General features: G+C 38.4%; 2 annotated features.

Annotated features, from left to right (window-relative positions):
- Nucleotides 253–547: a silencer, noted in NCBI's record as "tiled region #651; K562 Repressive non-DNase unmatched - State 24:Quies". NCBI's record gives its function as "represses a minimal TATA promoter and a strong SV40 promoter by Sharpr-MPRA in K562 cells {active_cell/tissue: K562}" and the evidence as "EXISTENCE:reporter gene assay evidence [ECO:0000049][PMID:27701403]".
- Nucleotides 607–1,123: an enhancer, noted in NCBI's record as "OCT4-NANOG-H3K27ac hESC enhancer chr4:190083543-190084059 (GRCh37/hg19 assembly coordinates)". NCBI's record gives its function as "activates a minimal SCP1, AML or CMV promoter by ChIP-STARR-seq in primed H9 embryonic stem cells {active_cell/tissue: H9 hESC(primed)}" and the evidence as "EXISTENCE:reporter gene assay evidence [ECO:0000049][PMID:30033119]".

A 16,106-nucleotide genomic window follows, 5' to 3' on the forward strand; every position in this document is an offset into this window, starting at 1 on the left:
AGCAGCATTCTGTAAGTTTTGTTATAACATGTTTTTGTTTCATTCACCTCAAAATATTTTATAATTTCTGTTGTGAATTCTTTTGACTCACTTGTTATTTAAAAGTGTGCTGTTTAATTTCCACGTATTTGTAAGTATTCCAAACTCCTTCTGTTACTGATTCACGGTGTCTTTCAAGTCTTCCATTTTCGTGTTGTTTTTCTCCTTTGTTGCTCCATTCATTATTAAAAGTGGGATATTGAAGACTTCAAATATTTACTTTTGTTAAGTTCTATATTTGTTTCTTTAATTCTGTCAGGATTGCTTCCTGCATTTTGAAGCTCTGGTCTTGTAACTGCCCAAGGGGCTCTTCCTGCCTGCTGCATAAAGAATGACCACAGGATTGTAGTAAAGAAAGAGAGTGACAGACACAAGGCCGGCCCCGCCACTTGGGAGATGGGGTTTGTACTCAAATCATCTCTTTCAAAGCTCACAGATTTTTTCAAAGGCAGTTTAGGGGAAGGGGCGGGAAAGGCCAGGTAATAGGTGCCGACTGCTGCTTGGTTGGGACAGAGATGAAATCACAGGGGGTGGAAACTGTCCTGTGGGCTGAATCATGGCTGGGGGGGGCAGCAGGAGTGAGGTTGGCCGGTCGAGATAGAACGATGGGTGTGATGCATGCAAAAAACCTGAAAAGATGTCTCTAAACTCCAGTCTTTGGTTCTCCAATAGTGATGTTATTTGCAGGAGTAACTGGGGAATTTGCATAACTTATAACCTGTGGAATAATGGCTGGCAATCATCTCTCTGTGCCTTAGCAGGCCTCAGGCTCCTCTCCTCCACCTAGTGCCTCTTATTAGCTTAAAAAAGCAGTTGAGTTTCCCACCAAGGCCTATTATCATGTTTAAATGACTTCCAATGGCATCCTGGCCCAATAGCCCTGGAATAATTAAGGGAAAGGCAAGGTGGGGGGTGGATTAGTGCAGACCTCTTTCACTGTCATAATTTTCTCACTGTTGTAATTTTTGCAAAGGTGGTTTCAGTGTAAGGTATTTTTTGGCAGACATCTTCCTGTTCAGTGGATCAAGAGTAAAACAAATGTTTATTGTTAGACTCTGGCCAGAAAAGTGATCATACCAGAAAATACTCTCTTTTTGTAAACATGTTATTCAAGGACTGAAAACACCTGTAGCACTATTTCTAGAAATGATGCTATGAACAAGTAAAACACTAGCTGGAGAGAATAATGTAGTCACAGATGTAAGACCATAAGGAAAAAAAACAAAACTGAATACACATTAAAGCAGTCACTCAGGCATATATAAAGATTCCCTGTGGTTTAGGGCCAGTGATTACAGTTTGTGGTGATTTTGTTTATAATACAAATTCCAAAGGAACTAAAAATGTTTCAGCTGGAATCCCTGGGTACATTATATTTGTTAAATTTTAGAATCTATCATCTATCTATTTCTCTATCATCTATCTATCTATCTATCTATCTATCTATCTATCTATCTATCTACTTCTAGTGAGTGGGAGGTAAAGAATAAAGAATGTCTGGCTAATGGAAAATTCTCGTATAATATCTATTCATATCACAAGTGTAAGAAGATTTTGATAGAAAAACAAACACATTTGATCATTCAGTGTGAACTCCCTTTGCTCAGTTGGAATTTGTTTTCAACATATCTGGGTTTTCTCATCAGCCTCTAGTTAAAACAGTGAAATTTTGTATAGGAAAGATGGTAAATCAGGGATAAGACCCTGAGTGTCGTAACACTGTGAAATCTCACAATTTCAAAAGTTTTATTCATTTACTAAACTTGTATGATCATCTATAACCCTGCATTATGGAATAGTTGTGAATTGTGAGATTATTTAATAATAAAGAAGTGTCTTCTCATTTCAGCCTCCAAGCATTGTGGAGAGCTGCTAATACCAAATAAAATAAATTTTCTAGCCACATCATAAAACTGATTGTAGCAGTTGCAGCCATCTCCACTTGACCAGCTGGCTTTTTTAACATTAAAAAGAACTCTGCAGTAACTTCAGAATCCAACCTTGGGAGCTAATTTTAACTTACCTAATAGTGTGAATAGTTTTATAAAGCATTCATTATGGAGTTATTATTCTTTGGAATGTATTTGAATTTGGTCTACAGTGAAAGAAGTTTGGCACTTAGTCTGAGGAATTATCTGTTTTACCGTTAAAGATTACATTTCTCCATTTTTCTTAAAAGTTGCAATGTTATCTTTGGCACTACCTGAATGAATTTTTGTTGGAAAAGATGCTAACTTCAGTTTTTAAATGTGGGTAATTTTTTTTCCAGCAAAATATGAACAAAAACCTAAGAAAGTGACATGGAGCTAAAGCAGTGGCCAAAATTGCCTGAGCGAATAAAATGTCTTTAATTAATTGGCCTTAGTGTGTAAGAAACAAAATAATGTTTCCTGTTTTATACATGCCCATTTTTAGTAGTTTATTAATGTCAAACTTAAAAAATAGCAGTAATTGAATATGATTTCTATGGGAAAAAACTTGTGTAAAGCAGGAGTAATAAATGTAAGTGTTTTTATTTTACTTATACCTAAAAGAAGAATTTCTCACTTAACTAGGTTGAGATAATATGTATTTGCATTGATTTGTCTCTGCTATATTTTTATATGGGGCATGTTCAGTTGTATTTTGGTAGATATTTTGAAATAAAATTTTCAGCCGTGTTGCAATAAAAATAAATCTAGAAAATTGACCGATATATTTCCCAGGCAAAAATATCCTTAACTAATCCTAGCTTTGCAGCTCAGCTCATTACTGCATGTCCTCTGAATTGATTTTACTATCCAGAGTTTCAGAGACCTGTTTTCAGTATACTGTTTACTGTTATTCCTATGCAGATTTGCAATATCGGAAAGTTACCTGCAGATTTACTGTTGTTTATCTGGAATCCTTTTAAGAGAAAGGCACTGCAATTGATCTTAATAGAAACATGTTCACAGAAAATTTAGCATGAAGAGTACAACCAAGACTCCTTAGATTGCTTTAATATTGAAAGAAGAAACACAAAGAAATATGCTTGTGTATCAATAACTACCTTTTGTAATACAATAAAAAGTTAATTACCAGAAGGCAATTTTACCAAAATAATGTACTGCCTTGCTAAAGCTGCCTTTTTTGTTTTCCAAAGAAAAACAGTACAAAACAGATACGTACTGACAAGTTAGAAACAAGTTGGAGGATTAAAGATTCAACAGAACTGTGTCAAGAATGCTGCAGATTATGATACAAACCATTGTGAGATTTCTTTTTCTGAAAATATGTGTGAGGATTCCCATGTGAGTTCTGCTCAGACAATGCAAAATACTGCTTCATCGCAATTAGATAAGAAATCCTTTTGTTTAGTTACAAGTAGAATGAGACATAAAATATCATAAAAATGGAAGATCTTTTCTGTTATGCTACTGCAGAGTTCCTAAGCTTGTAAAATCTGAAATAGCTTATAGTTTTTTAAACTTTTTTTTCAATACTTAATAATAGTTAAGTGAGCATGGTTTCCAAACCAAGCATCAGGACGTATGTTCCAACATCTCTTATTCTCCTCTCCTAGAACTAGAACATTCTATTTGGAACTTTGTTCTGCTGATGAATGTAGAACATGAACAACATGAGTAAAATAATAGAAAAAAAGGCTGATAGATCAACCAGGTGAAAGCAAAGATCCATTTAGTCAAAAAGATTCTAATTTAACATCTTCTCTCTTTTTTAGCACTATGCTACAATTTAGAAATATAAACAAGACCCCATGCTCTTTGCTCAAAGGAGCTAATTTTGACAGGACAGGGGATCTTGAAATATCGGAAATATTAAAATACTGAAAGTGTCTGATATGAGACATTGGTGGCAGCTCACTGGTTTGCAGTTTGAGTTCAGGCAACCAAATCAAAACAAAACAAAACTCTAACAACCCTCAGAATTAAAAAACGTAATTCAGAGCTGCTACATGTTTAAAGCAGGCATGAGCTGTGGAAATGCCCAATGGAAGGAAGGGAAAGCTCCTTAGAAGTGGTCATTTTTGTGGCTTTGAGTGAATTAACGCGGTCAAAGAACTCAAAAGGAGCTCTTTAGAGAACAGTCAGCACTGCAAAGGATCCTTTAAATAGGCAAGTAAAATTTAAAACATAAAATTCAGAATAATCAATAATGATATCTTGCATGTATTTTCATATTTGCAGTGTAACCAGTTTACCATTTTTGCTAGTCATAATAATTAAAATTTTAGTTTTAACTACTAGGGAATGGTGAGTGGTAAGGGCGGAAAGTAGGGAATCCACTTCTGCTTCTTAGAAAAAATTTTCACTAAAGTTGAAGACTATTTTTTTTAATGGGTTCTCCTTTTTTAAGAGTAGCATAAAGAAGTCAGGCAATTCCAATCCATAGAGTGTAAATATGAAAACAGGACAAAAATAGTAGAAAGAATCATTTGAGGGCATTGGAAAATGACCAAAGGCCAGCAACAATGAGAGAAATGTTTGCTATGAAAATCTGCTTTACCACATCAAGTAAAAAGGTCAGCTTTGGGGGTTTTGCCTAGGGATATTCCCGACTTGCCCCAATGTAGGCAGTATAAGCCAGTGACTTTACCAGTTAGAGGTGGTAGACGAGGTTTGGGGTAACCAATAAAGCAGCTAAACATTTAAGGATGATATTTTTGAAATAAGAAAGGCTCAGTCACATAGAGAAGCCCCATAAAAGGGATGAGACACTAAACAGATCATCGCACAACTACTAAACGATGCATGTGTGTGGAGATGATAGAAAGCACAGTAAAACTGAATCCTTGGAAAGAACTGTGAATTCGCTGATTTTTGACTGTGTTCTTTAATCTGAACCACGCCTGAGTGACAGAGAGTGGGAATCTTTCTGGCTTGGGGTGTTTCAGCATAGCCTCTGCATAAATAACTGCATAATCACTAAGCAGTAGAGCTAAAAACCCCAGAAAGCTAGCCATGAACAAATACACAAATAGGTACTCCCAATGGGAAAATGGAAATATTGAAAAAGAAGTAGACGTTCTAGAGATTTAAAAAGGACAATGTATGGAATTAAAAAAAATAACTAGAGGCTATAACAGCAGATTTGAGATGGCTAGAGAAAGAATAAAGGAACCCAGATTTAGATGAATAGAAATAATCTAATACGATGAAATTGTTTTTAAGATGAAGGAAAACAAGAGCTTCAGTAATCTGAGGGCTAACTTCAATAAAGCAATAATTAAAATTCCCAAAAGACAGTAGAGATAGGGAGCAGAAAACCAAATTTAAGTTATGGCCAAAAACTTCTTGACTTTTACAAAAGTTTCAATTTGTAGGTCAAAGAAGTTCACCAAACCCCAAATAAGATAAATGCAAAGAAAATTATGACTAGACACACAGACACACTCTTGTAAACCATAGATAATGAAGAAAAAAATTAAATAATATATAACATATAAAGGAAAGAACAATAAATAATGGTTAATTTCAGAAAAAACAGTGGACAGAAAACATTAGAATGATATAAAATCAACCAAGAATTCCATATTCAAGAATACTACCTAGCAGAAATGAACATGAAATAAGACATTTCCAGCTTATCAGAAACTTAGGAGAATTAGTTGTTAACAGGCATGCCCTACATACAAGAAATGATCCAGTTAAGTCCTTCAGGTCTGAGGAAGAGTGTACCAGATGAGACCTTCCATGAACAAAAATAGAAGCACTGAAAGAGGTAAGTATCTGGGCAAACACAAAATATTATACACACACACACACACACACACACACACACACATATTCATACATAAATGTTTGTATATACATTCTTTTTATCTCTTAATTTTTAAACAGCATATGATTGTATAAAGCAAATGTTACAACAGTGTTTCTTTTTCAGTTTATTTTATGTGTTTGTATACAACATTTGAATATAATAAAAAGGCAGATTGAATGAAGCAAATTTTCTATATTCTGTAAGAAATAAGTCAACATTAAATTAAAGTCGATTTTGATAAGTTAAAATAATATTGTCATCACTAGAGCAACTCTGAAAAAAATTCAAAGATATATAGCTAACTACTCAGTAGCGGGGTTAAAAAGATACACTACAAGTGTCTGTTCAATACTGAAAAGGGCAGTAAAGGAGGAAGAAAAAAAAGAAATAAGACTAATAGAAAACAAATAACAAAATATCAGTCTCACTACCCTACTAACCATCATTTTAAATGTAAACGGACTAAATATTCCAGACAAACTTCAAACATTATTAGATTTTTTTAAGCAATGAAAATAGACTTAAGAGTAAGAAATATTTACAGTGACAAAGAGATATTTTGTAATGGTAAAAGAGTCTCAGGGAAGGAAGATGCAACATTTATAAATTTTCTTCCACCAAAAAACAGATATCCAAAATAATTACAACAAAATATGACATAATTAAAATAAGGGAAAAAATTAAAAATGTTAATACTTTAGGAATCGATAAAAGTAGTACAAAAATATTATAAGAATACAGAAGACTTGAACAAGAATATAAATTTCTTTAACCTAATTGATACTTAGAAAATATTCCCTGCAATAAGACAAGATTTTGCCTATTCTTCCAAGCACACATACAATATTGACATAAGATAGACAATATGGTGGGCTGTAAAACACATCTCAAAATTTAAAAGGATTAATATAATAAAGAATATATCCACTAACAACAGAGAAAAAGAGTAGATATTAATAACAAATAAACTGGTGGAATTGCCCAGCAACTGAAAACTAAACAACATACTTTTATCCACTGGTCAAAGGAGAAATCTCAAGGAAATTAAAATGCATTTAACCGAAGGAAAATAAAAACATGAGGAAAATTGTCCTATAGATAAAGCAGCACTTAGAGGTAAATTTACAGCTTTTTATAAATTTCATAGAAATTCACTTCATTGTTGCTGCTTATAGAAATAATAGAAACCTCTATACAAAGTTTTCCAGAAAATAAATAGTAATACTTTCCAATTTATTTTTTGAGTCCAATATTACCATAATACCAAAGCCAAACAAATAAATTTTTAAAAACCATGTAGATCCATATATGCAAGACCTCTTAATCAAATGTAAACAAAATAAATCCAACAATACATATCAACTTTAATGTATTCTGAATAACTCAGCATTATCTCTGCAGTATAAAATTGGTTTAATATCTAAATCTATCAAAGCAATTCGCCATATTAACTAAATAAAGGAGATTATATGATCATTTCCATTGATACAGAGAAAAGACACGGGAGATATTCAGCCTCATTAAAAATATGTTCTCAGCAGTCTAGAGAAAGAACTCTATAAAAGTAATCTACAAAATTCCTATGGACACCTTCAGAGTTAATAGTCGAATACTGAATGCTTGATACAATATCAGAAACAAGGCAAGGATTTTCACTCTCACCACTTTTGTTTAATATTTCACTGGGTGTTCTGGTCAGGACAATAAGGCAAGAAAAAGAAACAAAACTCATAATAGAGTGGGGAGAGAAAAAGTAAAGTGTCATCAATGACATACAATCTTGTTTGTAGAATATTAAGAAATCTAAAAACAAGCTAGCAGAACTAACAAGTCAAATTAGCAAGCCACAAAAATCAGTAAAGAAATTTAATAATGTTTACTTATACTAGAAACAAATAATCTGCAAATAAAATTTTAAAAATACATTTTTTTTTTTTTTTGAGACTGAGTCTCACTCTGTCACCCAGGCTGGAGTGCAGTGGCACGATCTTAGCTCACTGTAATCTCTGTCTCCCAGTTTCAAGAGATTCTTCTGCCTCAGCCTCCTGAGTACCTGGGACTACAGGCACCTGCCACCACGCCTGGCTAATTTTTGTATTTTAGTAGAGATGGGGTTTCACCATGTTCATCAGGCTGGTGTTGAACTCCTGACCTCAGGTGTTCCTCGGGTTCCTAAAGTGCTGATTACAGGTGTGAGCCACCGCACCCAGCCTACTTTTATGTTTTTTTTTTTTCTGTTTCTTCCAAACTACCATTTCTCTTCATTAATTATCTCTCTGTATATATATATATATATATATATATATATTTTTTTTTTTTTTTTTTTTTTTGAGATGGAGTCTCACTCTGTCGCCCAGGCTGGAGTGCAGGGGCACGATCTCGGCTCACTGCAAGCTCCGCCTCCCGGGTTCACACCATTCTCCTGCCTCAGCCTCCAGTGTAGCTGGGACTACAGGTGCCCGCCACCACGCCCAGCTAATTTTTTGTATTTTTAGTAGAGACGGGGTTTCACCATGTTAGCCAAGATGGTCTCGATCTCCTGACCTCGTGATGCGCCCGCCTCGGCCTCCCAAAGTGCTGGGATTCCAGGTGTGAGCCACCGCACCCGGCCAAAATACATTCTTCATTGCACCACACTGGCTTCAGAAAGCTTTGCTGTTGGAAATTCAGAACTTTCTTTTGTTTCAGTTAACCTACTTCTTACGGCCGCATCCCAGACCACGTCATCATTCAAAAGTATTCTGTCTCTCAAAGTGTAAATCCTGAGATTCTCCTCCTATGTGTTTCTCTTTCCCTATCCCAGCATTCCACGCCTAAATGAGACCCAATACCTTTTCTTATGAATTCACCACCTAGAATGGAACATGGGTATTACCCATGAGCTAAGTCAATACCCCACCATCACCAAAACACTGGTGCTGTGACCAGAATTACCAGCCTTCCAAGGATGGCTGAGGGGAGGTGAGGAAAGGCTTTGCCCCAGAAACTATGTTGAACCTGGGCACTGGAGGATGTACAGGATGTTCTCAAGTTAAAAAGGGATGTATCACTTTTTTGAAGAGAAGAGCATGGGCAAAGGCGCAGTGCAGTAGTCTGCCAGTGTCGACATAATAAAAAAAAACCAACAGGTGGGTTAAGCAGCAGAAATGTATTTCTCACCGTTCTGAAGGCTGGAATCCAAAATCAAGGTGCTGGCAGGGCTGGTGTCTCCTGAGGCCTCTCTTCTCAGCTTGTAGACAGGTGCCTTCTTTCTCTGTCCCCAGGTGGCCTTTCCTTTCTGTGTGAGCATTGCTAGGGTCTCTGCCTCTTCTCGTAAGAAAGCTAGTTCTGTGAGACAAGAGCCCCATACTTACGATCTCATTTAACCTTATTTACCTTATTAAAAGACCCCATCTCCAAACAAACGTTAAGGTTTCAACATATAAATTGTGAGGGAACAATTCGGCACATAACACACAGATGTATGTATGTGGGGAACAGGAAGAAAGGAAGGTTAGCTAGAATATTGGTCAGGGAAGTTTGAAAAGTAAGTTGAAAGCTAGTCTTTTGAATGTTACGTTTGAAGGGTTTTGTGTGTGTGTGCGGGTAATGGAAAGGTTTGAAAGGTTTGCCCACAGTGCATAATTATGAGTTTTAGAAATGAAAACAATGGCAGGAGAGATGAGGTATTAATGCAGAAAGGAGCTGAAGTATCAGAAGGTGTAAGAGGGCCTGAATTAAAGTGGTGGGGCTGGAAGGCAGGTGAAGTGGCTAAGTTAATCGACATTTGAGAAGGAGGGGAGAGGAGCAAAGGAACTGTGGTGGGGCGTGAGTGTGCTCCTGAAGCAGGGACGTTGTTGTGTGTGCTGGCGTCGGGGCTGGGAGCGTGCCCGGAGCTGCAGCCTTGGACACCATAAGCCCAGAAGTGAGTGAAGGACACACAGGGTAGGCTGAGAGCACACCTTTCAGGAACACCCACCTTTAAAGGATAGATGAAGAAAGGATTGCCATACGAGGAGACAAGAAAGTGATGTTCTGAGGAAAACGAAGTCTGAGAAAGTGTGTCACAGAAACCAAAAAAGAGAAAGTACCAAGGAAAGAAGAGGATTCGCAGGGTTAAACATTCCCAACGTGTCAGACAGAATGCTCTGAAAATGGAAGCCTTGAGTTAATAGTTGGGGGTGCACAGGTGGCCATGCTGGAGCTGTTTCTTCAGAGAAGGACGAGCGGAGGCCACGCTGTTGTGAGTTGAAATTAAACGTAAAGTCTTAACCTTGCCTTTGAAAGATCAACTCATCTGACTAACTCTTCTGAGGAGGCTGAAAATAAAAAGACAGTGCTGAAGTTAATATTACTTTTAGGACAAGGAAAATCATGAGTGGTATACAGACAGGTAGGTGGGTAGATTTTTGGGCCCAGAGGATGAGGGAGGGAGCACTTAACAAAAGCCCAGAGCAAGAGTGAGCCTTCCACAGAGGTGTGCGCAGGTGTGTTTGGAGGAGGGTCTTTCTCTGTAACGGGAGAAAAAATTCCCCGAAGCTGACACTCATCCAGTGCCCAGTGGTTCAGTCATGCCTGTGTTTAAAATACTGCAGTGCTGTCACAACGGTTGTGGTGTATGTGGCTCTGAGGGTTCACACGCCGAGCTCTCTCCACATCGTATCTGCCATTCCAGCCCACGTCCTTCCCAGCAGAAGGCCTCGGAAAACATGCATTCTAGTTCTGATCACTCAGTGCCCATTCCTCCCTAATTGCTGAATATTTTGAATATCACCCTGGATATCAAAGTTGTGAATATAGATTTGGAGCTTGATGTAAAAGAAGCTAGGGAAGCCCATGTCTCTGATTTTCAGGCACTCGCATGTTAAAAATCACCTGCTGGAAAGGACCAAGCAAACATGCTGAGGGAGCATGAGAAACAGGAAAATGGTGGGCACTGGTGAGAGCACTCTTACCAGACTGCGAGGTCCAGGCTAGGCGGGAAGGGACTTTAACTCACAGGGGGGCCCAGGACTACAAGAATAGGTCAGAATCAAGTGAAGAAAGGCCATGGTAACAGAAGCCTAAGGCATAGGAGGGGAGAAGGGCTGAGGGATAGGATGCTAAGACAAGGAAAGAGACGGAATAGGAAAATAATTTCAGCATGTCCAGTTTCAGAGACTGAGCAGTTTTGAGAGATGATGTGCTGTGGGATTCTGTCAGGAGAGAAGCTCAACAGAAGAAGAAGAAGTTTCTGAGTCAGGAGGAGCAAGGCTGTGAGACAGGGGTGATCACGGTTGGGGTGGACACTGTGAGTGAACCAGGAGGACAGAAGGAGGTGGAATGGGAAAAACAAAGAGTGAGCCAAGTGATAGAGAGACGTGACCAATGACAACATGAAGGAAGTTGGTGCCATATCCTGAGAAACCTTACAGGCAGGGGAAACATGAGGCGGTCCTTATGCTGCTTGTTATGTTTCCAATGTGATTCAAACAGGGAGATTCGCAAAGGCCAGTGCTGATTACTAATGTGCCTTGCAGCAGATGTAAATAAAACTGGTTCTTACTTCAAAGCTTTCTTTTCTAGCAGCACTGCCCACATGGGTCTATTTGGCAGAGAAAAGACGAGGGGTGCCCCTCTGGACATATTCACACAGACTATGGTCTGAAATTGTACTGTTTGAAACACTGGTAAAATGTAGTTGCTCAAGAAATGTATAACACTGCCTTCCAAGTCAGAGCTCCAACATAACTCTTTGCAGTTATGTGAAGTGAGCAGTGCATTGTCATCCTGGAAAGCCCGGCTCCTTGGTTGAACCTCTAATGATTTCTTGCCCTTTTATTGCTTGAGAGAGTAAGGGGAGTGGGACCGCTGAGTTACTGCAGTAAGAATGCTTGCCCTGGGATTTCTGCAGCCACCAACCTGGCTGACAGGTTATATTCTCCAGTCAGCATTTGCCTTTTTATTGTGATTTTGTTTTATGCATAGTGGTAATAAATAATACATCTCTCAGCACACGGCCCATCACCATGGAATCCAAAAGCCATTCAGTATCGAACCTTCCCTTTGGAATTTTAAGTGCAGAGCTGCTGGTTGAGAAAGCCACATCCCCAATATGCAGAGATAATAGAAAGTTAGAAGTTTAACACACCTGTGCTATGTTATAAAGCAAAGGATATACAGCAATGCAAGACCAGCATAACTCAAACTAGGTATCTTTCTCAAGCAGTAAAAATCTCCAACCCATTAAAATGACTGATACTATTGCTCTGTATTTATATAGTGTCTTCCTACAAAGGAGCTTAAAATGTTTTACTAACATTTTCTCATTAACTCTCCCTTCATCTCCATGAAATATGCGGTGAGAGTTGGGACTGCTGTTTCTTCTTGCATTACCCATGGTTAATGTGATGCCTGGAGAGGCTGTAAACCCAAGGTCATTCTGTGGGTTGGTGACAGTAAGAGCTCCTTGCATCCGTTTCTCTCCTTTCCTCCATGTCAATGGTGATGTCTCTATCCAGCTTTTCTCTGTCTTCTCAATCAGTGAGAATAGATCTGGTTGGGGATAACGGCTCTAAGACTATGCATCAAATTGATGATAATATCAGCAAATTTTCATTTATCTAAATTATTTGCCATTAATTAAATATTTCATAATGATTATCTGTAATTTTTCTGATAGGCAATGGGGAAGAGATTATTGTAAATAATAAAAGGAGAACAATCATTAATCAGCTGTGCACATTTCTGCTTTTGAAAAATATGAACGCAAGAAAGGAGAGAAACACTGAAAAACATGAGATCGATCTGAAAAACAAGTATGGTTTACACGCGTGGAATCACCTTGTCTTCCGTGACTGTGACAATCGTTCACATAAACATCTTCACGTTACTGTAAGAGGTGAAATGGTGCACAGCACATTGAAAATTTTAATGAAGACCAAAATATTTCCCTTAAAAATGACATCATAAAGCAACAAAATTGCCTTTTTTTTTTTTTTGAGACGGCGTCTGGCTCAGTCGCCCAGGCTGGAGTGCAGTTGGGCGATCTCGGCTCACTGCAAGCTCCACCTCCCGGGTTCACGCCATTCTCCTGCCTCAGCCTCCTGAGTAGCTGGGACTACAGGCACCTGCAACCACGCCCAGCTAATTTTTTGTATTTTTAGTAGAGACGGGGTTTCACCGTGTTAGCCAGGATGGTCTCGATCTCCTGACCTTGTGATCTGCCCGCCTCGGCCTCCCAAAGTGCTGGGATTACAGGCGTGAGCCACCGCGCCCGGCCAAAATTGCCTTATTTTGATTAACATATTCAATTGCCTGAAATTAATTTTTTTGAAGGATCTTCAACTGTGACGATGTTTTCTTGTGCCTCTGTGGCTTTACCGTACTGTCTCTTCACCCCAAGCAGTTCATAGTTATATCATTTCCTGAAGTCTTTCTGGAGCCCACAGAAATGTAGGTCTCTCCATCTACCGGGCTCCCACTGCACTCTGCAGGAGCATTTCTTGTGCAGCTCTCATCCCAAGATTCCCCACGTGTGTTTATGTGTCAGCCTCCTCTCTTAGAACACAGCCAGCTAGTTATCAACTGTCGTTCCGGAGCCTGGCATATGAGACGCATTCTCACTGAGAAGAATGAATGACTTAGCCAGTCCCTGCTGGTTGCACTGCATCTTACTGCCTTACTCCATTTATTTACTGCATGAGTCTGTAGCTAGAGAAATATAAATGAAGTAATGAGTGAAGGCATCCAGCTGATCGATAAATGTATTGTGGTGAACGTGAGGCTCCCTCAAGCAGTCTTAGAACAGTACGTCCATAGCAGGTTTGGCTTTCAGCATCAACGAGTCCATAGGTCAGGTGCAAAATCAGCTATTACCCTGGGCCGTACAAGGAGCCTCTCAGTCTGCACAGTTTATTCACAGTGAGGAAAGGTATAGCTATTAGAGAGCATTTTGTCATTGTTCACTGATGTGTCCACTTATGTTGGCTTATTTTAAAAAATAAATTGGTTGCTGTCTTGAGTATCTTCCATTAATCAAGTTACCAACACAGGATTTGAAAACATTTTCTTTAACAGCTCTCAGTCTTACTCCCAGACATGAGTAGAGCCATGACAATTCTAATATTTAAAATTATTTGATGTTTTCACTTTAATTGCACAGATTAGGTCCTCATGGTAGGTTAATCCCACGCTTTGCCAAAGATTATCGTATCTTTACTCACATCCCCTTCCTCATGTGTCCTTTCCACTTATTATCATTCTTTGGGTTTTTCTGTCACCTCACCCCTGTCATACATTCACACACACACACACACACACACACACACACACACACACGTGTATATACAATAAGTTTCTATTAGGGTAGCATTGTACAAATGGTGGGCATTCAATAAATGTTTAATATGCATTTTAAAACAGTGTATGCAAGAGTAATCATCAAAAGTCATATGACTCTTCTCTTTTCATGTAGCATCCTTCAGAACTGCATTATAGAAGGGAGATAGCTTAAATACTCAAGCTAAAGAAAATGTACATACATTTGTGATAACAATATTATATCTCACTTCATAAATTGCCAATTTGAATATTTTGGTGTAAAAATTTAGAAGTATATCTTAATCCTATTAAGAGACATCGTCAGTGAGATACATTTGATGTTAAATCACGTGATTAATAACACTCAAATTTGCCATGACAAGGCACTGCAATAAGAACTTTCCCAGATAATAAACTTGACCACTGGTATGCACTGCCAACCGAAGGTAAGGATCAGTATTCTCACAGGTTAAGAAAAGTACCTTTGACGGTATTTTTACAAAGTTCTGTAATTCAGTATTTCCTTCAGCTCAGTGGGCATGATGGTGTCGGTTGAGACTTTAAAGATGTTATTGTCAAAATCATTTTACTTCTCATAAAGAAGCATTTTGCCTTATCAATTTCAGAGTACAGGTTCACTGGCTGCTTTGAAATGTTGTTGAAATGTAAGAGACTACAAGCAACTATACTAATCAGTATGCAATTGCTACACCAAAAATGCATGAGTTTTTCCATGATTCCTCTTTCTAGTAATAATTAATTACCTAGTGGGTTTATTTATTTAGAGTTTTGAGGATTGCAAGTATGTTTCTTTTTGTAAATAGATACTAATTCTTCTAAGGATTCAAGTAGACATACAGAATGAACATTCCCTTAGTTTTTAAATTTTATTATAAATGGATTCCAGATCAGCATTTCCCTTGTCCATGTATATGTGGCTGTCATCAGGAGGAGATGAATAGCTATTAACTATAGTAGTGACAATGCCAATGGTAATAATATTAATCCTTTAATATCCACTATGTGCCTTTTTCTATGCTAAATATTTTATATTTATATGATCACATTCAACATTTTGTGTGTAATTTTACACTTAGCTTTCTACTTTTTCTGAGTCTGATCTCCCCAAAGGTATCTTACCACAACAAGTACTGGAGTAAGAACTATTTTAAATGCCAGTTTTAAACATGTCTCAAATTCCTCTGGCTTAAACATTCTCTTATTCTATCTGTTTAGAATAAATATATTTTTATTAAAGAAATCTCTTTTTAATAAATGACTATTTTTTTTCTAATTTCCTCTTCCTCTTTTTTCTCCCCTTAGTGGTGTATGGGTCTACCAGGTGCCTAACCTTCCCTGTAACTATGCCCAGGGGAGCCTATTCCAGTCACTAATGCTGCTAACGAGTCACTCTAAAATGTGGTGAGTAAAGCAACAGTGACTGTATTGTGTCTCATAGCATCTGCGCTTTGAAGACGGAAGAGCTCCTCTGGCTTGTGGTTTCTCAATGAATTGCCCACAGGTGGTGGCTGAAGCTGAGACCACAGGAAAGGAATGGCTACGTCCTGGCCAGGCACCCAGGCACCTCTATCTGATCTCTCTGCATGGATTAGTTAGGGCTTCCTCCCCAGCTAATGGGGAAGGTGCTTGAAGGCAGAAATCTGTTTCCATGAAAACCGAGCTCTTCAAAAGCAAGTATCCCCGTGGTCATCACCTTTCTGGACCCAGCCCAGGGAAGCACACAAGTTACTTCTGCTGCACTGTCCAGGTTACAGGCAAGTTACAGGCTCACTCAGATTCAAAGGAAGGGAACATAATTCAGAATGCTCAGTGCAAATATTGTCAAGATCCCTTTGCAAGAGCATGTGGAATGGGAAATATCCCTGTGGCCACTTTTGCATAATACAGTCTGCCTTAGGGGCTCTGGTCATCGGTGGCCTGAGCCACAGAGGCTGCTCTTGTCAGTAGATTGGCCTGTGGTGATGTGCCACTGATCCTGTCTGGCGTCTGCCTCTGGCTCCCACGTTTCTCTTTTCCACAAG

The sequence above is a fragment of the Homo sapiens genome, chromosome 4 (genome assembly GCF_000001405.40).
Source record: "Homo sapiens chromosome 4, GRCh38.p14 Primary Assembly".
Classification (NCBI taxonomy): Eukaryota; Metazoa; Chordata; class Mammalia; order Primates; family Hominidae; genus Homo; species Homo sapiens.